We start from the raw sequence: 25234 nt of genomic DNA on the forward strand, positions 1-25234 counted from the left end.
TAACATACGGCCTGGCAGATCATAAGTAGTAAATAAATATTTGTTGAATGAGTCTGTCTTTAGCAAAGGGGAATGGGATTGCCATGATTGTTTTGGGAGGTTTCTTCTTGTGGGTGATCTTCATCTTCAGGCCAAACTCTTTGTTGATGCTGTTGTATTTTTCCTGAAATTGTCTCTAATACTTAGGGTGGAAATCAGATTATTGGTGGTGGTGGTGGTGGTGTTTTAAAAAAGAGCTCAGAAATTATTAATCTCAATCCTTTAATTTTTCCCATATGGGAAAGTAGATGTTCAAACAGGTCGTGGCACTGCTGACACTGGAACTCTGTCCTTGATTTCTGCTCCAGGGCTGGCTCTGTGTATGTACATTCCTTTTCAAAGACTACAGAAAAATCACCAATGCAGTGAATCTCCTTCAGGATCGTACGAAGAACTTTTGATGAGGCCGAAAAATGTGCTAAGAAAAGGTTTTGAGTAGTATAGAAGTCTTCTTTGCATTCCTTAGCATTATGTCGCTGACTAAAACCGGACTCATGGCTAGGTCTTGCCTTCACAGTTGATAGAAAGTGGGTTATACAGAACGTTTTATCTGTGAAATAGCCAACCATTACCATTTTGAAGTGATCTGAAGATCTGTATGAGCTTCTCAGGCTAGACAGCCAGGTTAATAACCATTTCTTTTCACGGACTCAAACATGCTAGGTTTCTCTGATTATTTTCTTTTCCTGGCCTTCTAGCTGAATTCATTTGGCTGTGAAGTTAAAAAAAAAATCTTTAAAATATAACTCTGCAAGCTAGTGGTTACATAGTAAGATTTCTTGCTAAACTTGCTTCCTCATTCTCCCTTCCCTTCCACAGCTAGACTTTATGTACAAGTTTTTTTTTTTTTTGACGCAAAGTTCCTGTTTTTAATTATGTGTGTAATTTCTTAAATAAAAGGAAACTTATAGTATACATTTTCAGACTGAATAAATATTATACTATTGTACACTGTTTCATCAAGTAATTATATTGTAAATCAGTATCTGAGTGAGGAGCATGGGGTACCTCTATATTTTGTCCTGTGTAATAATTTGTCCTGCATTATTGTCTGGAGTGTATCTTCCATAATTCAAAAAAATTTCTTTGCAAAGCAGTGGTGACGTTTTATTAAACTCATTAATTTATAAGGCTTAGCCAAAAAACAAACACTGAAAGGCACAAATCTTCACTACAAATAAATTATGTGCCAGTGGCGACTACTAATTCAAAGCAGCTTTTGAATTTTAGCAGAAAGTTCTAAACTTCTCTGAATTATACCCTTAACTTAATTTGTCATCCCAAGAAATAGCTTTTTTAAAAGGAGGAAAAAGGGACGGAAGACAAAGGGAAATGTAAAATAGATTAGTCTTGGGAAGCAAATATTTTAGATCCAGTTTTGCAGTCCCAGTTCCCTGTTGGTCCCACTTCCCGTGGAAATTTAATGTAAAACTTAGGCCATGCCCATGGAAGGCACCATGCAAGAGATTTAGTACTACCCCAGTTCTATCCAAGATGGTGTCAGACTAGCACAAAAATCAGTCTAATTGTAGTTAGGCATGGCTGCTTTCTCTCAGTGGAGAGTTTCTTTCTCCCTATGCATTTTTGTCGTCTTTTCCAAAATGTCAATAAACTTTATGGAGTAGAACATCTAATGTTGCCATATATTCTGGAGTGTTTTTTAATGACAAAGTTGTTTATTTTTTAAGGTAGCAAGATGGAAAATATTTTGTTTTACCGTAGCATAATAAACCAATAAAACCAGCTGGACAAACATTTATCAACTAAAGTAGGTGCTAAAGCCAGGCGAGAATCCCAGTATGAAGCTTGATCAAGTGTTAAGAGCCTTATTGCAGTTTATGGCAGAAATTTTCAGAATTACTTGTGAGGCTACAAAGAAGTATCAACTAAAACTAAGTCAAATAAAAAAACTTCTATGTTTTAAAATTTCAGCAGTTTGGGCTCTGACAAGTCTATGCTCTTGAGGTTCTTTCTTGAAGAGATTGTGGAAGAAAAGCAATTAAACATATCTATTTCTTTTTCTCAAAATGCTTTATTCATTCAGTTGATTCATGCTCACAAAATGTGTAGTATATTGCCAAACAACTCTGCAAGGAAAACAAAAATCCTAAATAAATCTGCCAAATATACAGCTGTTAATCTGTTAGCTAATTGGAATATTGACAAATTCAGTAATGCATTCAAGATTTTTTAGCTCAGCTTTAAGAAACTATAATGCTGACCAGAGCTCTGTCTTGACACTCAAGGCTGTTATCCATTACATGAATAATTGGTTTCCAAAACGTGAGGCAAATATAGCCAAGTAAGTAGGAGGACTGGGGAATGTTTTTCCATGGTCTTCTCTTAAACAAAACAAATAAACATAGCAATACAAGAACTGTACCAACAGATGATAATTACCCAGTAGATCTCTTTAAAATGATTTTCAAAACTTAGAGATCTGAGAAAAAATATCTAATTTAAAAACTTGTGGACTTTGGTAATTAAGAAGTTATAACTGTTTAAAGTGTGGCATGTGTGCTGTTGATTTTAAGGGATGTACATGTAACCATTTTAATATTTAAGAATTACTACTAGAAATATAATTAGCATGTCAGATTGCCCATGGATATTATTGCTAAGAACAAGGCAAAACATATTAACAATAAGGAAGCAAAAATGAGACAACTTACAGGAAGACATTAATTAGTAATACAATTGTTACATGAATGTGGCAGATATCATGGACGTTCTATATGGATGACTAGTATTTGGGAAACACTGGATTGTGATTATCCGTCTTAGAGGTGCTGTCCTACAGAGAGAGAAAAAGGTTGAATCTTAAGAGTTAAGTGCCCTTGAAATTTGTCTATTGTAGCCCTTGTAACTCTATAACCTCTGTTTGTGAATATCCAGTAATGGAGAATTCGCTAAGTTCCGACTTGGCAGCCTCCATCATCAGATATATCTCACAGCTATAGTTCCTTCAACATCTAGCTTTTAGTAATTCCCACATCTCAGTCTTACCTAATGATAGGCAATGATAGGTACAGAGTAATCGCTCTTTGCTGGATGGAATTTTAGTTATTTAAAGACATTTATCATCCTCCTTTTTCCAAGTCACCGTTTACTGGATAAATGAGCCTCTCTCCTTCAGTAATTCTCAAAATGACATGATTCCAAAGTGTCCGTGTCATCTTGGTTGCTATTTTGAATGCCTCCTTATTTTAAGGTATCTTTCCCAACAGTTCCCTAATCTTGGATGATTTACTTAATCATTCTGCAAAGAAGGATAGTAATTTAATTCCACAAACACTATGAGATGGTGAACTTGAGTTCTTCTGTTATAAATTATGTCACATAAGCTGTAATTCATAGATATTTATCATCATTTTATTATTTTTTTTTTTGAGATGCAATCTTGCCCTGTCGCCCAGGCTGGAGTGCGGTGGTGCTATCTCGGCCCACTGCAACCTCTGTCTCCCGAGTTCAAACAATTTTCCTGCTTCAGCCTCCTGAGTGTGCACCACCATGCCCAGCTAATTTTTGTATTTTTAGTAGAGCTAGGGTGTTGCCATGTCACCCAGGCTGGTCTCAAACCCCTGAGCTCAGATTGATTCCCTCACCTTGGCCTCCCAAAGTGCAGGGATTACAGGCATGAGCCACCACACCTGGCCTATTGTCATCATTTTAACTCGTAGCTATTATCACTATTAGTCCTGATTATTATGTGTGCCAAATATAATACATAACAATACTGAGAAAATACTTTAAGGGTATAATATCTAATTGTAGACACTATAGCTTTTTGATTATCTATTGTATTTGTTTTCATTGATGTCTAAATTTGCACTGTATTTTGTTGTTGTTCTTGGTGACATCTCACTGACTCATTGACTCTTCCTTTCTCCTAAAATGTCCCAGTATTTTTCCATGCAAATGCTGCTGACTCACATCTTCCTATCCTGTAGCTGCTAGATTTGGATCCAATTTTAGGTCTTAGGATTTAATCCTATTCCTATTAAACTTAGCTTTGTTTAACTTCAGTTGGTCATTTAATTCTTTCAGGATCTTTTTGGATACTGGACCCTGTTAACCTAATCATTCCTCCCTGCTTAGAATAGAATCAACATTTTTTTCTTAAATTAGGCGTTCTTTGCAATCTGATTTTTATTTACCTGATTATGAATGTGATGCATACTCCCTATGGAAATTATCGGTCACTTGTTGGAGTTCTATTGGAGACACAATATTTAGGCAGTTCGCATTGATATGGACATTGCAGTTGGTAAATCGCTGTTGCTCCCTGCCCCTTGAGACTTCCCTCTTCCTTGACCCCCTTATGCCCCCACTTGACGTCACATAAACCTCCGCATGGTCCAGCTTATGGAAGTTTAATGCTGCACATAGCAGAGGCCCTGTAAAGCCCTTCTCCAGTGCTGTGGCCAGTACCCATTCTCTACTAGTTGTTAATATTTTGAATATCACCCCTGGGTATAACATTATATGAGTAAAATACAGTGTCTGTGGGGCTCTAACACCATGTTTCATGTTTTCCTTTGATAATCTAGCAAAAAATAAGAAATAGCAGTAATTTTTATTTACTTATATGCATACATAAAATAGTTGAAACTTCGTAATGCCTCTGGAGAATGGAATAGCTTGTATGCTTGTATATGTTAGTCAGGAAATGATTTTGATAACCCTTTTAATGGGCTTGGTTAAGCCTAGCTAAGTGAGACACTTAGTGGCCTTCCAAAGATATCCACATCCTTATCCTCAGCACCTGTGGATGTGCTAACTTACATGACAAAAGCAACTTACAGATATGATTGAATTAAGAACCTTAAAATTGAATATTATCCTGGATTATCTGGTTGGACCCAGTGCATTCACAAAGATCCTTATAAGGGAAAGAAGGAGGCTGGAGAGTCAGGGTCAAAGGAGGAGATGGGACAAGGGAAGTCGTGGTTGGAATGATGTAATCAATTTCTGGCTTTTAAGATGGAAAAATGGGCCCTGAGTGAAGGGATGCATGTGGCCTCTATAAGCCGGAAAAGGCAAGGAACTAGATTCTCCCCTAGAGCCTCCGGAAGGAATACAGTCCTGCTGATGCCTTGATTTTAGACCACTGAAACCCATTTTGGACTTATGACCTCCAGAATAGAAATATAATAAATTTGTGTTTGTTTATCACTAAGTGGATGGTAATTCATTACAGTAACAATAGGAAACTAACACAGATCAATATCCATTTTGGGGATTGTAATTTAGCCCCTTTGCTAATAATTAAAATTATCTAGCTTTCATTCTTTTAACAATAACTACAACTAACAGGATAGAAAAAAAAAACAAAAGACAATTTGACCAGCCTTCATTCCTTCATCACTGCTGAGACAGGAAGGTTTAGGACTTTGTGTAGTAGGTTGTTCTTTCTCCCAAGCCTACTCAAAATATTTTACTGCTAGTCTGCCATCACTTTTTTCCTTTTCATCCTCGAATTCATTTAGTTTCTAATTAGTAAAGTATGTATATTAGTCATCAGGGACAAAATAAGACCATGTTAGATTAAAAATGGAAGTCCAGTTTTCAGAATGACATTTTGACAAAAACTGAAGCCTATTCTTGGAGCCTCTCATTGAGATATGATTTGGACATATGGTCCACTTTGTCATAACAGCAGCTTTTGTTCTTAACATGAATTATACTAGAAGCTGGCTTAGCATGGGTTTAACCATCTACTGCGGACCAGTTGATGCAAAACAATTACTAAGGCTGAAGTTCAGGAAATAAGATTGGATTTACAAATTAAATGATTTGATTCAATAAATGTGTACAATGGCTGGGCATGGTGACGCACATCTGTAGTCCCGGATACTTGGGAGGCTGAGGCTGGATGATCCCTGGAGCCCAGGCATTCAAATCTAGCCTGGGTAACATAATGAGACCCTGTCTCTAAAAACAAAACAAAAAAAAGGTTACGATGATGACCTCTCAGGAGACTTAAAATATTCAATTAACTGTCTGTCATCCCAGAGTTGAATTCTGAATGTAGAAAAATTACAAAGATTAATTTGGCATTATTGTAATTGTCTGTTTTTGAAGTTGCTATTTAAAGACTGTAAAGGCTTTTGGTCGATAGAAAAGTCAATAAATGCAGACTGCTCCATGGTGAAATCTCTTCCATTCCGACAGCTTTCCAGTATGTTGCACTAATTTTGCATCATTTAAACCTTTTAAATATCAGTAGCTGCCAAAGAAATGGACCAAGGGGAATTGACTAAAACAAAGTTGTGCTGCTTTATTGTGTATTATTCTTTTAGGATTATCTATTTTATTATTTTAAATCAGTAAATTATACATGGGGGCAAATGGCTTCCCTAGTACAGGGATCTCATGTTTGGAGATTATAGAGTAACAGAAGCAGCACTAGAACAGTAGTTCGAAGATGCAATTTTTTCATAATTTTGCTACTTGCTGTGAAATCTTGGTTGAAAATCTTTATTTACATCACAAAAAGATGGGAGAAAGCATTTGTGAGAACACATAATGTATATAAAAAATACTTGGAAATCTAGAAAGTTCTTCACATACATTAAGTAATGGTAGTTGTCCTACAAACTTCCCTATCCTTCTTCTCCCCTCCCTTAGCCATTTTTGGGGTCCAGATGGGATCACAAGATAAGGCAGGCTGGTGCAACCAGTGCTCACTTATTGTGGGGACAGCATCAGTGTCATGTCATCAACACCCTGTGACAACTGTGGCTTTGTTATTCTGATGTTGAATTACTCTCCTATCATTTCCCTCCCTCAAAATGACTAATGCACCATAATCAATGTAAAAACAGTGTTAGTCCCAGAATAGTTGTTTGTGAGCATAATGAAGATAATGAAACTCTTGTTTTGCTTGAAAGTTAGGCTTTTAGTTGAGTGCACTCCCTACCATGATGATCGTTTTCAGCATGTGGAGCCCATTAAGCAGTGTTGGAGCTGGATTCACAGTTTAATGTGCTAACACTGCATCTGTTTCTACCCTGATGATAACCCCTGGATCAGTTTATAACTTATGTAGAAGTTCAAGATGTGGTGTAGTTAATTTCTAAAACAACTGTTGATCTTTATATGTGTGAACCCCCTGGTCTTTTACATTCCAGATGAATCCATTGCCATTTGAATATGTTTATACCTGTATGTGCTTTCAGAGTGGGAAGTAAAAACACATGTCCCCTCTAGGGGCTTTATTTTCACTTAAATTCTTCTGCAGGGTGACAGTGATGAGCTTATTAATATTTTTTCTTGTTTTTTTTTTTTTTTGAGATGAGTAGGACGATGGCTTTATGGTGTACTTTTGTAACCTTTATTAAATCTTCATCTAAAATGAATTGCTGATGGATGATTTCCTTCCTGCTTTGTCAAAACACATGCATATTCTCAGTCCAAGCCATTTATGATGCCATAAGTAAGTTATTGATTCCTCTTGGGAGCTGTGAAATGCCTGGGCATTAAAAATTAAAGAAAGGTGATTCTGTTACTGAGGCTGCATGCCTTATCTCTGTGGCTAGCTAAAAGCAGAGTGCCAGTTCACTGGAGCTTTGAAAAATGACTTTTCCCAATGACCTGCTGCCTTTTAAAGACAGCAGAGTTTGGAGTTCCTTTTTAAAGTGGTAAATGCGCTTAGAGAGTTGTACTACAGTTTTATTCCCATTAGAAAGATTGAACTTCTCCCCAGGATGCCCTCAGAGGGGAAACCATTAGAAGACAGGACCACTATAACATTTGGTCATCCTATTCTGTTATTCTCCCCAAGGCAACTTTTAATGTTTTTCAATGTGAGAATCTATCTATTCTGAGTAGAGTGACCATAGTAAAGTGCATGACATTCCCTTTTTTCCACAGGTGATCAGATTTCTGATCCTAGACTCTTCTAGGTTGTATTTTAGGCCATCATAAATTATAGCCAATTTACTCCCCACCTGTGTAGGGCTGACTTATATGAAGGGTGTAAAGAGGGCACTTTCAAGTATTATGTTGACCTTTATTTTTATTAACAAAGATACAAGAGGTTTCACATTGTCCTGTTGTTTAGAAGTGGCCATCTTTAAAAACATAATAAAGTGTGTAATTGGAAATGCCTGGCTAGTTCTTTTCCTAATTTGTGCAAGAAAAAATAGGCAGAAGACATTATGGTTGTTTTATTAGAATCGATTATCTTTAGTCAAGAAGATGTACCCAAGGTCAGCTTCTTTGGTAGTGTGCAACTGTCATCCTTCTGATGAGTCTGCTTCCCAAAATATCTTAATTAGGCTGTGAACAGTGATATAAGTCCTGTAACTTCTTTTTATTTTATGCTTTTTGATCACCTCACTTAACCTTGCTGTCATCCATCTTTCCAGCTGAGTTTGGCTGCTGTGAACATCATTCTTGTGCTCTTAGATTGGCTATTGGGCTTAATTTATGATTAATGCAAGCAAAATTTCACATGGGTGCAGCGTGGGAGAGAGGAGCAAAGTCCTAGAGAATATGCAAAGAGGAAAGATAAATGATACCAGTAACTGCATGCTATATATAGGGGTATTGACCAACATTTCAGGAAAAAGTGCTCGCCTACAGCATCCAGGAAGGCGAGGCAGGTGAATCACTGTAACTGAAGCAGTCATTTGTGAAGCCCCTACTGTGCGTCATGCACTGTGCTTTGGAGTTAACCTAGTTACCTTATTTACTGTTCACCATAAACAACATTTTTTAGATGAAAACTTGAATCCTAACAGCTAGTAAGTCCAAGAGGAATGATTTCAATCAAAATTTGGCAAACTCTAAAGTGTGTGTGTATGTGTGTTTAACACAGTGTGGATTTGGGGAGTTGCTTCAGATAAGAGATGAATGTAGACTTTTGTTTTCTTCACATATTGGAGTAAAAAGTTAGATTGGTTGTTCTTAGATTTCTCTGAATACCATCTTCCATTCTTATGTTTAAATTTTACTTGTTCATTTTATGCCTTGTGAATTTATTTAATTAGCACGGTTACTTGTACATAGAAAAAATATTATTTTATTGGCAGTGGCCAGGGTGACAGAAATTATGTTTATTGTGATGGTCACGATTGAATAAAAATGATCTCATGGTCCTGGTTTTGGGATTTCTAGTCTTTGCAGAGGTTATCTGATGTAGTAGTCATAGACATGGAGAGCTAAAAAGGCACTGCGCGTATACACCTGTTCCAAGTATATGAATTTGGGGTCAGCAAAAGGCTAAACTATACCATCACTTGAGATTTTACTTTTGTTTTGTTCCGGTTTGTTTTGTTTTTCTTTGAGGTGGAGTCTTGCTCTGTAGCCCAGGCTGGAGTACAGTGGCGTGATCTTGGCTCACTTCAGCCTCCACATTCCAGGTTCAAGCAATTCTCCTGCCTTATCCTCCTGAGTAGCCGGGATTACAGGTGCCTGCCACCATGCCTGACTAATTTTTGTATTTTTAGTAGAGACGGGATTTCACTATGTTGGCCAGGCTGGTCTCAAACACCTGACCTCAGGTGATCCACCCACCTCAGCCTCCCAAAATGCTAGGATTACAGGTATGAGCCACTACACCTGGCCAAGATTTTACTGTTCTTAAAGGGACATGTTAGTGCTTCATAATTTATCTGTTCATAACTGAGATCTGAAAAAGCTGATAGTTTTCACATAACATTTATCATATATGTGTATATATCAAGTGCCTGCTATGTGATTTATTTAAAGGGCTACAGAATAAAACGTGTTAGAGCTCCCTGAAATCTAATTTATTTCTTGATTATTAAAGTTTGGTCAAGAAATGATATAAAGATTAGAAAGTACTACAGTATATATTAGGATGTCAGTAAATTTTAATGCTAGAGTTAATATCTCTCTTTCTCCCCTCATTCTTGGATGAAATATCTCTTGCCTTCCATGACAAATTAGAGTTGCTGGTGGTTTGCAGACCAAATGTTTGGGTACTTTGTGTAAGCTCATCTGTGTTATTTTTAAATTAGAGTGTTTTCCTCCTTGCCTATCTGTTTTTCATCAGCGCTCGCATATCCGTGTGTCCGAAAAAACTCTGATTTAGCTGTGAGGCTGATTTTAATGTAGGGATGTCTGTGTACCCTGTCATCACTGGCAGCCCTGGTGAAACTTCCCATGTTTCGCATGTGTGTTGCTACAATATGTTCAAAGTCTGATCTTTCTCAGATGTATGTGTGTGTGTATAACTATTTTATAGCTGAAAAGGGATGCAGGCAGCAAAGTCTCTGCCAGAATATGTTTTCTATTTAAATTTTGTAATATGAAATTATAGGTTAGCGTTTGGCTCTCATAAAGCTGCCTTTTCCACCCGTCACTGCAAGACAAGTAACACCTTCTTTTGACTCAAGTTTTCCAAGATTCCTTAGTGTTAAAAGAAGACTTTCTTTTTGAAATGCAGAAATTAAAAGAATATGGTACAAAAGTGTTTTTTATAGCTTTATTGAGTCTTGAGGGCAGATATATGGATTCCAGACAAAATGCAATAATAGACTGGGATTTTACTTTCAAATCGTCTTGCAAACACTTCTCACTGGAGATTTATTGTACATGTGGAGGAACACAGGCTGCTTTGAAGGTTAAATGGAGTAGTTTGGAGAACGGTGTTCAAGTCCTTTCTGCCTCTTATTAAGTGTATGCACTTCTTTAATTAACTTAACCCCTCCAACTTCAGTTTTCTAGTTTGTAGCATTATTGAAGATAAATTGAGATAATATGTGTGCTTTGTAAACTTTGTCAATCTCAATGTAAATATGATGTGACACTAGTGTTTTATTGTGTCTGTTTAGTTAGCATTAGTGCCTTGTTGTTGTATTGGCCCCATTGAGTGATTCAAATTTTTTTTTCCTCTGGTAGAGAATCTAGACAAATTCTGTCAGAACTGAGAATAAGATACCTCTTAAAACCCTATTTACAATCACAAAGCAGTTCAACGAGTCATCAAAAACAGCAGCAGACATAGTATATATTGTAGAAATATGGCTTGTACGTGAAATGTAGTTTTCCTGAAACTGAAAGATAAACAGTATATAGCATATGTAATAATATGGTACTGTCTCTATGGTATAGTAGGGCTTATTATTTTTCTAGGGCTGCCGTAACAGACCACCACAGACTGGGTAGCATAAACAATGGAATCTTATGTTCTCACAGTTCTAGACTTTAGAAATCAAGATCATGGTGTCAGCAGGTTTGGTTTCTCCTGTGGCCTCACTCCTTGGCTTGCAGATGGCCACATTCTTGCTGTGTCCTAGCATGGTCTTTCTTTTCTCATGTGCATTTCTGATGTCTCTGTGTGTGTCCAAATTTTTTTTCTTGGACACCAGTCATGTTGGATTAGGACCCACCCGAAATGCCTCATTTTAACTTAACCACCTCTTTAAAGATCCTATCTACAAATACAGTCACATTCTGAGGTACTGGAGATTAGGACTTCAACATATGAATTTGGGGGTGGCAAGGCAGGACATGGCACAGTGTGTGTGGCACATAACAGGGAGAGCAGTAGACAAAGAGCAGTGACAAAGTTAAATTCTTGTATGTGCAGCTCTGATCTTTACTGACCCTAATAGTCTCGAGTAGGACTCTTAATTTCTTTCTTTCTTTTTTTTTGTCTCGCAGTAGCACAATCTCGGCTCACTGCAATCTCTGCCTCCCGGGTTCAAGCGATTCTCCTGTCTCAGCTTCCCAAGTAGCCAGGATTACAGGTGCCCGCCACCACGCCCAGCTAATTTTTCTATTTTTAGTAGAGACGGGGTTTCACCATGTTGGCCAGGCTGGTCTCGAACTCCTGACTTCAAGTGATCTGCCTGCCCTGACCTCCCAAAGTGCTGGGATTACAGGCGTGAGCCACCATGCCCAGCAGGACTCTTACTTTCCAGTGTCCACATCCATATCCACTTACTCACAGAGTCATGATGAGGCTTGAAGAAGATCATGAACCTGAGTACATTTTGTAAAATGTAAAAAGGTGATACAAATACAAGGTAGTATTATAACAGGAATACCTGTGAGGGATAGATTGGCAACATGTAGAATATTTTAAGTATGAAAGGGTAAGGATTATTGCAAACATTTGTGTAAAATAAGCTTCTTGGCTATTCTGTATGGCTGCAGGAGTTCTGGGTAAAGAAAGGTGATTTGGGCCGGGTGTGGTGGCTCACACCTGTAATCCCAGCACTTTGGGAGTCCGGGGCGGGTGGATCACTTGAGGTCTGGAGTTCAAGACCAGTCTGGCCAACATGGTGAAACCCCGTCTCTACTAAAAATACAAAAATTAGACGGGTCTGGTGGCAGGCGCCTGCAGTGCCAGCTACTTGGTAGGCTGATGTACGAGAATCACTTGAACCCAGGAGGCGGAGGATGCAGTGAGCCATGATCACACCACTGCACTCCAGCCTGGGCGACAGAGTGAGACTCGGTCTTGGGAGGACAAAAAAGTTGATTTGGTTAAGACTCAATTCAGAGAAGACAGGAGTATTAGGTGAGCAGATAAGCTAAACATCTGGATAATGCATCATGAATGTCTTTCCACTCCCAAGACTTCGTTTCCTAGAGCCTGTTAGTTTCTCCCTTTAAAACTTTTTCCCCTTTTACTTTCCTGGTCTGGTAGTTTTCAGGCTGAGGAGTCAGTGGATTCACAATCAGTGTTCATAGCCAGAGGGTACTTTTCCTATTTACCCTAGGTGAAGATTATGACCCCACAGGATGTGAATTTTTTTAAAGTAATACTTGAATAGTTAGAGGAAAATTGCCATGTACTTTATCTGTTCTGAAATGTGTACAGCACATGCGTAAAGGCAAGTATTTTAACTGGGTGTATTCTTAGCTTGCCATGCCTGCATCCTTAGAGAGTATATTTGGATAATCAAATCCCTAGGCACAAAGATTATACCTTTTGTTCTGCAAAAGCACATAGACCAAGACCATGCACAAAATAGGTGTTATTGGAATCTGATGGTTATAGTTACGTTCTCTCTTTTAGAATCTAGTGTTCCAGCCGGGCGCAGTGGCTCAAGCCTGTAATCCCAGCACTTTGGGTGGCCGAGGCGAGCAGATCACGAAGTCAGGAGATCGAGACCATCCTGGCTAACACAGAGGAACCCCGTCTCTACTAAAAAATACAAAAAGTTAGCTGCGCTTGGTGGCGGGCGCCTGTAGTCCCAGCTGCTCGGGAGACTGAGGCAGGAGAATGGCGGGAACCCAGGAGGCGGAGCTTGCAGTGAGCCGAGATCGCATCACTGCACTCCAGCCTGGGCGATAGAGTGAGACTCCGTCTCAAAAAAAAAAAAGAATCTAGTGTTCCATAGAGCTCATTCATTTTTGAAAGCATCGAACTTCATTAAAAAAAGTATAATCTCGTATTCATTCCATCCCTTGAAGTCAAACAGTAATCATGTTTTTAATATAGAAAAACTGTAAGGGGCCGGGTGCGGTGGCTCACACCTGTAATCCCAGCACTTTGGGAGGCCGAGGTGGGCGGATCACTTGAGGTCAGGAGTTCAAGACCAGCCTGGCCAACATGGTGAAACCCCATTTCTACTAAAAATACAACAAATTAGCTGGGCGTAGTGGCGGGCGCCTGTAATCCTAGCTACTTGGGAGGCTGAGACAGGAGAATCGCTTGAACCTGGGAGACAGAGGTTGCAGTGAGCCGAGATCGTGCCACTGCTCTCCAGCCTGGGTGACAGAGCGTGACTGTCTCAAAAAAAAAAAAAAAAAAAAAAAAAAATATATATATATATATATATATTGAACTAGTCACACATTGCAACATACCACAAATACCACAAATCCTCAAGACCTTATTGTAGGGGAAACATAGTATTAGATGTAAAAATTTTGAAAATGAACTTTTTAATGTAGCTATGAGTTGATGAAAACCTACAAAATCAAAATTCATAAATTATGTAAACAAATGGACTAAAGTGGTTCATGTATAGTACCTGATTTAACTTTTAGGTGTGAGAAAGCCTTACAGTATCCCTTCTAGTTGTTTCTAATTTCAAATCTGGAAAATTAGAAACAAGTTATTTTCATTAAGCTTTTAAATTGAAACTCTGATACAGTATAGTACGGTGAGAAGGAGGTGAGGTGTACTGAATTATGTTAGGATGTTCTGATATGGATATAGTGACCAACTGATTATGTGCAAAATATTTATACTGTTTTTCATCATGCAAATTGCAAGTCTGTGAAAAGTAGCTCAAGTTGTTTCACTCATTATTTTAATCAGTGAAAGTGCTTAGAGTGTGGTATTTCTCATATTTTCATGTTGTATTAGTTTTTGCTTTAATTTTGCAAAATGCTTTTCATATAACATTTAAAAACATCTCTAGGTAACTCAAGTTTTAATTATACGTGATAAACATTCTTTTAAATGGTTTATTAGTTTTCAGGGTCACAGTGTTTTTTGTGTTTGTTTTTTTTTTTTTTGATATTTCCTGTAGAAATTGTGAAAATGACAGCATTGCTTTATCGGGGGAACTAAAGATATTTTTAAAAATATTTAGCCAACATTCTACTTCCTCATTTTCTCCTACTAAGAGGAAAGAGTGCCAGTGCCATGGCTCACGCCTGTAATCCCAGCACTTTGGGAGGCCGAGGCAGGCAGATCACTTGAGGTCAGGAGTTCGAGACCAGCCTGGCCAACATGGTGAAACCCCATCTCTACTAAAAATACAAAAATTAGCCAGCATTGTGGCGCACACGTATAGTCCCAGCTACTTGGGAGGCTGAGGCAGGAGAATCGCTTGAACCCAGGAGGCGGAGGTTGCAGTGAGCTGAGATCATGTGACTGCACTCCAGCCTGGGCAACAGAACGAGACTCTGTCTTTTTTTTAAAAAAAACGAAAAACAGGAAAGATTGTCTAGGTAAACTTCTTGACTTGAGATGAGAAGGAGCTTCCTCATCATCCATGGAAGCTCTATGAAGGCAAATCTCCAACATCTTGGGGGCTGAGTTTAGCTGCAGCTGGGGCCATTTTTAATCACAAGTTGACTTTTCTTTTTTCTTAGGGGCCTAGGGTTAGGGAGGTATATCTTGCTGTGCAGATATAGCTCATAAAATTCCTTTATTGCTTATCGGAAAAACTCGTAAAGGGATGGAAGCGGGATCCACTAAGAATATTCCTGTAGTTGGAAGACTTAGCATTCGTAGAATTTTCTCAAAACCAGCAGTTATTCGGGGTCGCTGACCATTGGGTGTCTGACAACAGGCTCTTTAATAACTTCCTGTATTCTCTTTTCATTCAACATATGTGTGGTAACAATTTATTAAGTGCCAGCATTTATTAATGCTTACAAAGTTGTCATTTTTGTCCATGAAAGTTTTACAATCTAGTAGGAAGAGATCAAGATAAAAACAAGCAAATTTGGAAAAGTGTTACCAGTGTAATGATAAACGCTTGTCCAAAGCGTAGTGCCTTCCTTTACCCTAGGGACCTAGAAACCTAACACTGCCCCTAACAACCCAGCACCCCACACTGTAATTTATTTGCCCTACCTTAATTTCATACAGGAATCTGAAATACAGTGCTCATCCCCAAAGTAAGATGAGCTTTAGATGCATAGTATTTCTCTCATTCTCTTACCCTATTAGCCAAGTATTTGCATATTAACTGGAGCTTTCTAAATATAATGGCTTATCCCTAAAGAGGTACTCTAATGAAGGGATTATAGGTTAAGTGGCAAATGAGTGCCAAAGACATGTGGCTAAGCCAGTTAACCTGGTGGTTTTTCACAGTTAATTATCATTGAGTGAGTAGAGGTTAGTGGCCTGAGTGAACCACTTTTAGATGAAAGTGATAATTCCCTACATACTTAAAACAATCTAGAATTTTCCAAAACGGTAAATGCAGTTTATCAGTACCAATCATCTCTAATTAGAATTTAATTTATTAACCCAGCAATCCCATTACTGGGTATATACCCAAAGGATTATAAATCATGCTGCTATAAAGACACATGCACACGTATGTTTATTGTGGCACTATTCACAATAGCAAAGACTTGGAACCAACCCAAATGCCCATCAGTGATAAACTGGATTAAGAAAATGTGGCACATATACACCATGGAATACTATGCAGCCATAACAAAGGATGAATTCATGTCCTTTGCAGGGACATGGATGAAGCTGGAAACCATCATTCTCAGCAAACTATCGCAAGGACAGAAAACCAAATACCGCATGTTCTTACTCATAGGTGGGAATTGAACAATGAGATCACTTGGACACAGGGCAGGGAACATTACACACGGGGGCCTGTCAGGGGGTGTGGGACTTGGGGGAGGGATAGCATTAGGAGAAATACCTAATGTAAATGAGGAGTTGATGGGTGCAGCAAACCAACATGGCACATGTATACCTATGTATCAAGCCTGCACGTTGTGCACATGTACCCTAGAACTTAAAGTATAATAATAATTTTAAAAAAGAATTTAGTTTATTAGATACATATTGAGTACTATGTATGTTAGGCTCCAAAAGATAAATAAGATGCCTTTTCAACTTCTAAGGAGTTAGCAATATATTGGGGAGATGAAGTTTCAAGACAATAAATGAATCAAACCTGAAGATCATTGAGAGATTCATGTCCAGCCAAATTCCTGTCCATCCCATGAAGAAGAATCATACATGACAGAGTAATGCCAGTTATTCCTGCTGCTCCATCCCTCAAGCTTCATTCCATCCATACTTAACTGTATTTTCAGATATCAGACTTGCCATGCTCTCTCCTGTCCCAGAGTCTTTGAAAATATTGACTGTTGGCCTGGAAGTATCGCCACAGTTTCCTTTCTCCTTCATTGAACTTTTTACATGTATGCAGATATGCTTTCCTCCTGGAAACTTTTGACCCTCTAAGACATTGGGCATCTGTTTTGTGTTCTCCCATACCAGTCATTATTTGTATTAGATAGTATTTATCATACTACAGGGAAACTCCTTGTACATTTATTTGCCTTGTCTACTTGGCTGAATATTTAATGTCAGGGGCTCTATTTTGCTCATCATTCCATTTTCAGTGTTCTTCACAGTGCCTTGCTTATAAATGAATGAATGAATAAAGGAATGAGTGAGTGATTTTCTCTGGACAGACATTCCATTTTATTGGGCAATGATTTTCAATAGAGACAGAAGAGGGAATGTTAAGATCACCTGTGTGCTATTTTCAAAGCATACATTTCTTCCCACTCCTGAAATATCTCCCATATATCATCCCATTTAAGATCCCTGATATTTGTAGCAAGCAGTCAGTGTTGTTAATGGGAATGTGTCAATACTCAAAGTCAAAAGCCAGCATATTCTGCCACAATAACTAGGAAAGGATTGAGAGGACAGTGGCTTTGCAAATGAGCATTGGTGGTTGAAGCATATTTGGAAAGATGTAATGGTAGAAGGATAGTAATCCAGGTAGAGGGGGAAAAGAAATGGTTTGAGCGGCAGCATAGAGGAAGGGAAGTTTGGCTTAAATTAGCATGCGTATGGAGAAGTGATGGGAGATTGGCCTTGAGGTCATCAAGAGGAAGGCTGTGAATGCGAGCTGTGAAGGTTGTTTATTATGGTAAGAAATAGGGCAGAATGAGGGACCTTTGTGGAGAGGAGTGCTGGTATTAGAGTTACATTGCAGGAAGTTTTTCTATCCATAGCATGCATAATGGATCAAAGTGGGAATGAAGGCAGGCAGGGATAGCTATTTAGTTCAGTTTAACAATATTTGTTGCATGCCTAAGATGTGTTGGACACTGGGAGAAAAGACAATTCCTTTCCAGAGGTGACCTATAGCCTAATGAAGGAAAGAGAAAAAATGATCAGGCAGTTTTAATAAGCATGCTAAGCAATGCAGTCAGAAAATAAAGCAGGCCTGAATGAGGGTAAGAGAAAAGGGAAATTAGAGGCAGATTCAAGGGAAACTTCTGAATTGAATTTTCTCTGAGGTCCTGAACAGCTTTAAAATGTCCTTAACCAATTTAAAAATAGATATAGGAGCAAAACCATAAGAAGCTGTCATGTACAACCTTAATTTCAGTAATGGAAGAATGATGATATTCAATGATGAGACTGTATGAAAAAGAGATGGTTTGTGGAGAAAATTAGTTTGGATTCAGACTTACTAAGCTTAAGGTACTGAAACTACCAATGTTACATGGGAATTACACAGTGCCATACTATTTAATACACTTTTGGTTGCAGATGTCAGAATAGCAACTCAAGCTACTTTATGACTAAGAGGCATTTACTGGCTTATTTGACAGTATAGTACTAGCTTCAGGTATGATTGGATCCGGCTACACTAGGAATTGCCTTTATCTCCTTGATTTTGGTTCTTTTATTTTGGTTTCACCCTCAGGCTGACCCTGTCTTCAGGCAATTCTCAAGCAGCTCTAGGATTTTTAAAATTTCATTCTTAAAAGAAGATGCCTTTTCCTAGTACATAGTTGGTACCATATTGACTCCTGCTGCCCTTGCTTGAACCTAAGTCAATTGTGTGGCCAGTGATGGGGGTGGGGAGATACAGTACATTAACCTTTCATCTGGGGGTAAGGGCAGTGTCATCCTACCCACGTGGACTGAGAATAGATGTGGGCTATTCTTAAAAAGAAAACCAAGACACTGTTACTAAAAGGAGGGGGTCTGCAAAAACATGTAGTGTCCAGTGCGCAATGCTATATAAATTCCAAGCATTTTAAGTTAACATTGCCTTGTTTGATTTTTAACATGACATTTTGTGAAAAGCGTCATTAACATTATCTGTAAACCATAGGTATGGAAATGGAGCTTTAGAGAGGCTAATTCGCAAAAGCAGCACATGTAGTGTTAATAGAAGACCCTGGATTCCATTAATCTTTCTTCCATTCAAATGTGGATGTCAAATGGACAGTTGGAAGTGTAGGCTCGTGAGCAACCCCCAGGCTAGAGTGGGTGGAGTCATATAATGGAGAAGTCATCCCTTGAGTTGCAGTTGTTGGATATGACCACCAAAGAGGTGGAAATTGCAGAGAAAGAGAAGGTCAGGCGATGGGACCAGGAGAGAAACAGCCACATTTGGGAGGGTTAGAACAAGGTCCTCAAAAAGATAGGAAGAGAATGAGAAAAGTAATGAGAAGAGTAATGTGCTAAAGACTACAGTTATCACTTCATAAATGCTTATTGTCTTTTTCAAAGTATCAGGAAAGCTTAAAGGAATTTTTAGTGAAATATTCATGACCATGATCCACTGATTTTGGAATGCTATAAACATGATGAAAATAACACAGTGGGCAGGGCACAGTGGCTCACGCCTGTAATCCCAGCACTTAGGGAGGCTGAGGTGGGCAGATCATGAGGTCAAGAGATGGAGACCATCCTGGCCAACATGGTTAAACCCCATCTCTACTAAAAATACAAAAATTAGCTGGGCGTGGTGGCGTGCTCCTGTAGTCCCAGCTACTCAGGAGGTTGAGGCAGGAGAATCACTTGAACCCGGGAGGCAGAGGTTGCAGTGAGCTGAAATTGCACCTCTGCACTCCAGCCTGAGTGACAGAGCGAGACTCCATCTCAAAAAAAAGAAAACAACATTGTGTTTGCATTGATGGCTAGCATCAGTTGTTTGGTGTTGATGATGATAATAATAGCTAACATGTAACCAGGTGCTGTGACTCACGCCTGTAATCCCAGCACTTTGGGAGGCCGAGGCAGGCAGATCACCTGAGGTCAGGAGTTCGAGACCAGTCTGGCCAACATGGTGAAACCCCATCTCTACTAAAAATACAAAAATTAGCCAGGTGTGGTGGTGGGCACCTGTAATCCCAGCTACTGGGGAGGCTGAGGCAGGAGAATCGCTTGAACCCAGAAGGTGGAGGGATCATGCCACTGCACTCCAGCCTGGGCGACAGAGTGAGACTCTGTCTCCAAAACAACAACAAAAAATTGCTAACATATGTTACCTATGTTACATACTCACATTATATTGCATGTAATCATTTACTCTTCACAATGATCCTATAAGGCAAGTATAGTGCTCTCTAGTTTACAGTTGAGGAAACTAAGGTACAGAGAGGTGAAATAACTGTGTCTGCTGTCTCACAACTTTAGTGTATCCAGTTGGCTACACAATGGATTTTCTTAACTGCTGCATTGCACTGGGCAGCACTGAAGCAGGGCAGGTTAACAAAGGCCAGTCTTTTTTCTTATCTTTCTTGCAAAGAACATTTCAACCTACTGTTATTTATTTATTTTTTTTAATTTAAGTTTGGCCTTTGCTTACTTTCAAGTAGAACAATTGAAAGCATGTCAGAACAGCGCCATTTGATGTTGGAAGAATCTAAGCGTCATTCCTGCTCTGAAGGACTACTGGTCATTACTTACATGGGTGCTTATGACTGAAAAGGTCACGAGACAAAAAAAAAAAAGCTGTGAGAGAAAGACACACAAGGACAGTTTGGGTGGCAGTGTCACATCATTCATCAGTTTTACAATAGTGTTGGCCTTTGTCAACATTTTCTAAAGGAAAAATCATAAGGCAACAAAAACAAAGAGCCACAAATGAACAAACCTGGACACAGGCTAAGACTTCCTTGAAGACTTCAGAAACTATCTTTTTTTTTTTTTTTTTGGAGATGGAGTCTCGCTCTGTCGCCCAGGCTGGAGTGCAGTGGTGGGATCTCAGCTCAGTGCAAGCTCCGCCTCCCGGGTTCACACCATTCTCCTGCCTCAGCCTCCCGAGTAGCTGGAACTACAAGCGCCCGCCACCACGCCCGGCTAATTTTGTGTGTGTGTGTTTTTAGTAGAGACAGGGTTTTACTGTGTTAGCCAGGATGGTCTCGATCTCCTGACCTCGTGATCCATCGTCCTCGGCCTCCCAAAGTGCTGTGATTACAGGCGTGAGCCACCGCGCCCGGCCAGAGACTATCTTTTTGCTTCAAAAAGACAGTTTCTCAGTCCTGTGTTCTCTAGGGAATTCTGCCAACAATTGTTTTTTTCCCATATCTGCTGCTCTGAGTTCCTCCACCTTTCCTAGAGTGGAAAATATCCTGATTCCTTAGTGCCTTTCTGAATTTTCAACACCATTTCACGGAAGCAACCTCAAAAATTATATCAGCATGAAATTTTGTTTTGAGTCAAGGTGTTTCATTAGCTGTGAAACAGCAGAAGAGGTTTTACTATTTCTATTTTGGACTCATAGAAGGAAATGCAAATGAATCAAAATCTATTATGCTTAGGTTTGAATGACTCCCTTTTTCTTATTTTGCTGGAGGATTACTCAGATTCTATTAAGGCCCTGTTGGTCTGTATCTTTCTTAATAGGATGTTGAGGTGGTGTAATGCATCCCTTATCACTGACCTGCATGTGTGACATGACTTGTATATTAAATTCCAGTACATTTTAGTCTTCCATATTTTTTATCATAATATTCATTGGTTAAATAAAATCCTACTTAAGCAGATAACACACATTGGAGAATTTTATCATACTAATGTCTCCCTTAGTATAGTATGTTTTTCACATGGATGAGATACTCTTTTGCTCCTTCATTTTTGTTTTATTAACTATGTTTGTCTTTTTTTCCATGTAAATTTAGGGCTGTGTTTCAAAGTTTTTTTTCTTTTTTTTTTTGAGACGGAGTCTCACTCTATTGCCAAGGCAGGAGTGCAGTGGCGCGATCTCGGCTCACTGCAACCTCCACCTCGAGGGTTCAAGCAATTCTCCTGCCTCAGGCTCTTGAATAGCTGGGATTATAGGTGCCTGCCACCATGCCTGCCTAATTTTTGTATTTTTAGTAGAGATGGGGTTTCACCATGTTGGTCAGGCTGGTCTCAAACTCCTGACCACAGGTGATCCACTTGCGTCAGACTTCCAAAGTGCTGGGATTACAGGCATGAGCCACCATGCCCGGCCTCAAAGGTTTTTTTCTCACGGTAAAATTATGAGATGTGTTAATTGTGTTCTTTGTGTTGAAACCCTTTTTGGTGGAGGGTCTTTGGATGTAGTATATCTCGTGGCTGCTGTAGGCTGCTAGATTTATTGCTATAAAGATAAATTCCAGCAGCTTTGAACAGATTTTTTAATGGGTGAATTTTTTATCAAAAGCCTTTACATAGTTGGTCATGGCATTGAACTAATAGCATGTAGAAATCCAGGTTTGGAAAAGATGATTCTTCATTCTTTGGGATCTGCCACAGAAAGGATGGAGTATTACTCTAAACAAAGCGTGCCTCACAGTTTTTCTCACTGCCTTGACAAAGCCTTATCCCAGAATGGTTTGCCTTTGAGCTCTCCACTGCCCTGGCCTTGATGGTATGAGGGTTTCTGGATTGATATTAGAGATATTTACATCAATATCTAGGTTAATGTCTAGTTGAAGCCTGGGTTTCATTCTCTATTGCTTGAAATAAGCTCTTTCTGGCAACACTCTTTGGCAGTTTGGCAGTTGTTTTTTTTTTTCATATTTCTTTTAAATTTTAATTATAACCCATCAAGTCTTAAGCAATTACTTCTGGGTAGACTCTTGATGAATGTCATAGCAGGGTGTTTTAATTTAATAGATCCAGAATAACATCTGGTTCTAATATTTTAAAAGCCAATTTATATGGAAATTTATTTAATACACAGTCAATACATGGAGACTTGTAAAAATCAAAATCAAAATGGAAAATCAATCTACTGTTCTGTAATAGGTCTTCTTTTAATAAAGGATTTTGCTCATGACTGGGTTCAACTGTTACTAGTTAACACTCAAAATATCAGTTTAGAAAAGGTAGCAACTTATTTCTCATACTGAAGAAATAGGAGGTAGTTAGCCCAGGGTCACTATGGTCTTTTGTAACAGGGACTGAGTTTCCCTCAATCTTACTGCTCTGCTCTCTGCATGATTTCTATTCCTAAGGACACCTTGTGGGCCAAGATGGCTGCTGGAACTCCAACCATTACATATGTGCTCCACTCAGCAGGAAGGAGGAGGGTAGGGGTGGAGGGGAGGGGTGCAGGGGAAGAAGGCTAAGCTTTTCCTTTTAAGGACACTTTCTGGAAGTAGTAGACAAAAATTCATCATATGATCATATTTAGTATGAAGGGAAGATAGGGAAATAAATTTTTTTCTAAATGACCACATGCCCAACTAAAAATTAAAGTTCATTTGTATGGAAAAGAGAGAGAATAGATATTGGGTGATATCCCTGATATAGTGAACCATCCCGGCCACATGGAGTAATTGAAGATTTTCACAGATCTTTTGCCTTTTTATTGAACATTTAGAAAAGTCAACTAGTTCTTATTAGTAGATAATATATGTATTATTATATGGATTAGCATGGTATTTGGCACATTGTATATAATCATCAACTTCTGATCGGCCTATTTTAATTCTAACCCCAAAATGCACCTAATTTCCCAGGTTATGGGTCAGGAAGACTTTAATAAGGGACTTTTCATAGATTGTATCCTAGTCTTTATATAATAATAACAGCGCAGCTAACAGGGCAGAGAGATCATTTGCACTAGGGTGTCCAGAACACTCATGTATATGTAAAGCACTGTTCTCTGCTTCTCTATATAGAAGACAAATGAACAATTATACATGTTTATTAAATGATTTCAAGGTAAAACTATTATCACAGAAACTGAAGCTCAGAAAGGTTAATTGGGAAGCAATCTAGAGAAGCAGTTGAAAACTATCATGCCTAGTCATTTGAACTCAACTAGAATACTAACTCAGTTATTTCCACTGGTGAGATCACCTTAGATGGGTTTCTTAATCTGCTGAGTCTCTGTGATAGTTTATTTTTGCAGTCAGGCAGTGAATGAAAGAGTTAGGACTCAGGAACGTTTTCCCTGAATCCAGAGTTTTTCCAACCTGCTTTTCGGTAATACTCATGTGGAAATTTCTCTGATCACACCTGCCTCACAAGAGAAGGCAGAACTGGTGGAGGGCCTAGAGTTGAACATCATTAAGACAGTCTCCCACAACATAGTCTTTATCCACACAGATGCCCACAGCTCCTTAAAAAGCCCTGATATCAGACTAGGCAAGAGTTTTATAGTTCTGGAGTTCTCATTCCTGTGCCCTTACTAACTCATGTGTCTCTTATATGTTCTGTAAATACAGAGATAGGTTCACTAGGGATACAAAAAGACTCCAAATGCCACTCTGTTCTCTGGGAGGATAGTGGCACAGAGCCAGGATGTTCCAAACTGAATAATTTAATGCCACATTCAATGTTTGTACCTTATCCACATATGTCAGTACTTTTGAGTCTTTAATCCTTTTCTTTATATTCACTTTTTAATTTTCAACAGCTTTATTCTGAGCCATAGTTAGGAAATCCAGCTTTGATATGGTAATGAAATTTACTTTCAAATAACCTTAACATGAATATAACCATTACAGTTTTTACAAAGTGCAGACATCTTTTTACATGTCCCCAGTAGTAGATGGATCATATTTTGGGAAACCCAGAATAGTGGAAAGGGAATTAGCCATGAAGCTCTGTGTTACTGCTCTCAACTTGTGTGACTCTGGGCCAGTTATTAATTAATCTTTCTGAACCACAAACTTTCTCACTTGAGAGATGTAGAGAATAATATCTACCTCATCAGTGTTGCTCTAAAGATTAAATGAGATGTAGCCAAGGAGACCAGCATGGTGTTTGGCAGTGTATCAATTGTTTAGCAATTAGTAGGTCCTTCCTTCTTGAAGTCTGTTTGAAAATATCAGGCATGCAAATGGAAACTATCCTCAAAAGCAAGAATCAGTGAAGCACCATGAAGATTTCTATAGAGGGTAGTAAGTCCCATGAAAGCTAAGAAGTGGGAAAGGCTGAAGTTTATTAGAATGCAGTAGGAAGGGAAACACTGGATAGGTGGAGAGCCATTCTTCCTAGTCTTTCCAGTTATCTGGGCCCTTAATACTCAACATGTGGTCCAAGGACCATCAACATCAGCATCACCTGAGAGCTACTGGAATGTGGACTCTCTCTCTGGCTTCTCCCCAGGCCTACTGAATCAGAACCTGCCTTTTAACAGGGTTGTCAGGTGATTTGTATGTATGAGAAGCACCGGGCACTGATATTCCCTGTAAAATTTATTAATTTATTTCTAGTAGGAGGCTAGTCCTTGCATCACCTGGGCCTTGCTTCTTAAAAATGCAGATTCTCAGGCCCAGCCTCGATCTGGAATATTCATTTTTAGCCAGTATGTCA

At 38.9% G+C, this 25234-nt stretch overlaps 1 protein-coding gene across 6 annotated transcripts in view; it reads left to right on the top strand.

Annotated features, from left to right (window-relative positions):
• The window catches only part of TMTC2 (transmembrane O-mannosyltransferase targeting cadherins 2), a 447961-nt gene that overhangs the window by 144562 nt on the left and 278165 nt on the right, over positions 1–25234 (top strand). The window lies entirely within an intron of this gene.

Source organism: Homo sapiens, chromosome 12 (assembly GCF_000001405.40).
Source record: "Homo sapiens chromosome 12, GRCh38.p14 Primary Assembly".
Taxonomy (NCBI): Eukaryota; Metazoa; Chordata; class Mammalia; order Primates; family Hominidae; genus Homo; species Homo sapiens.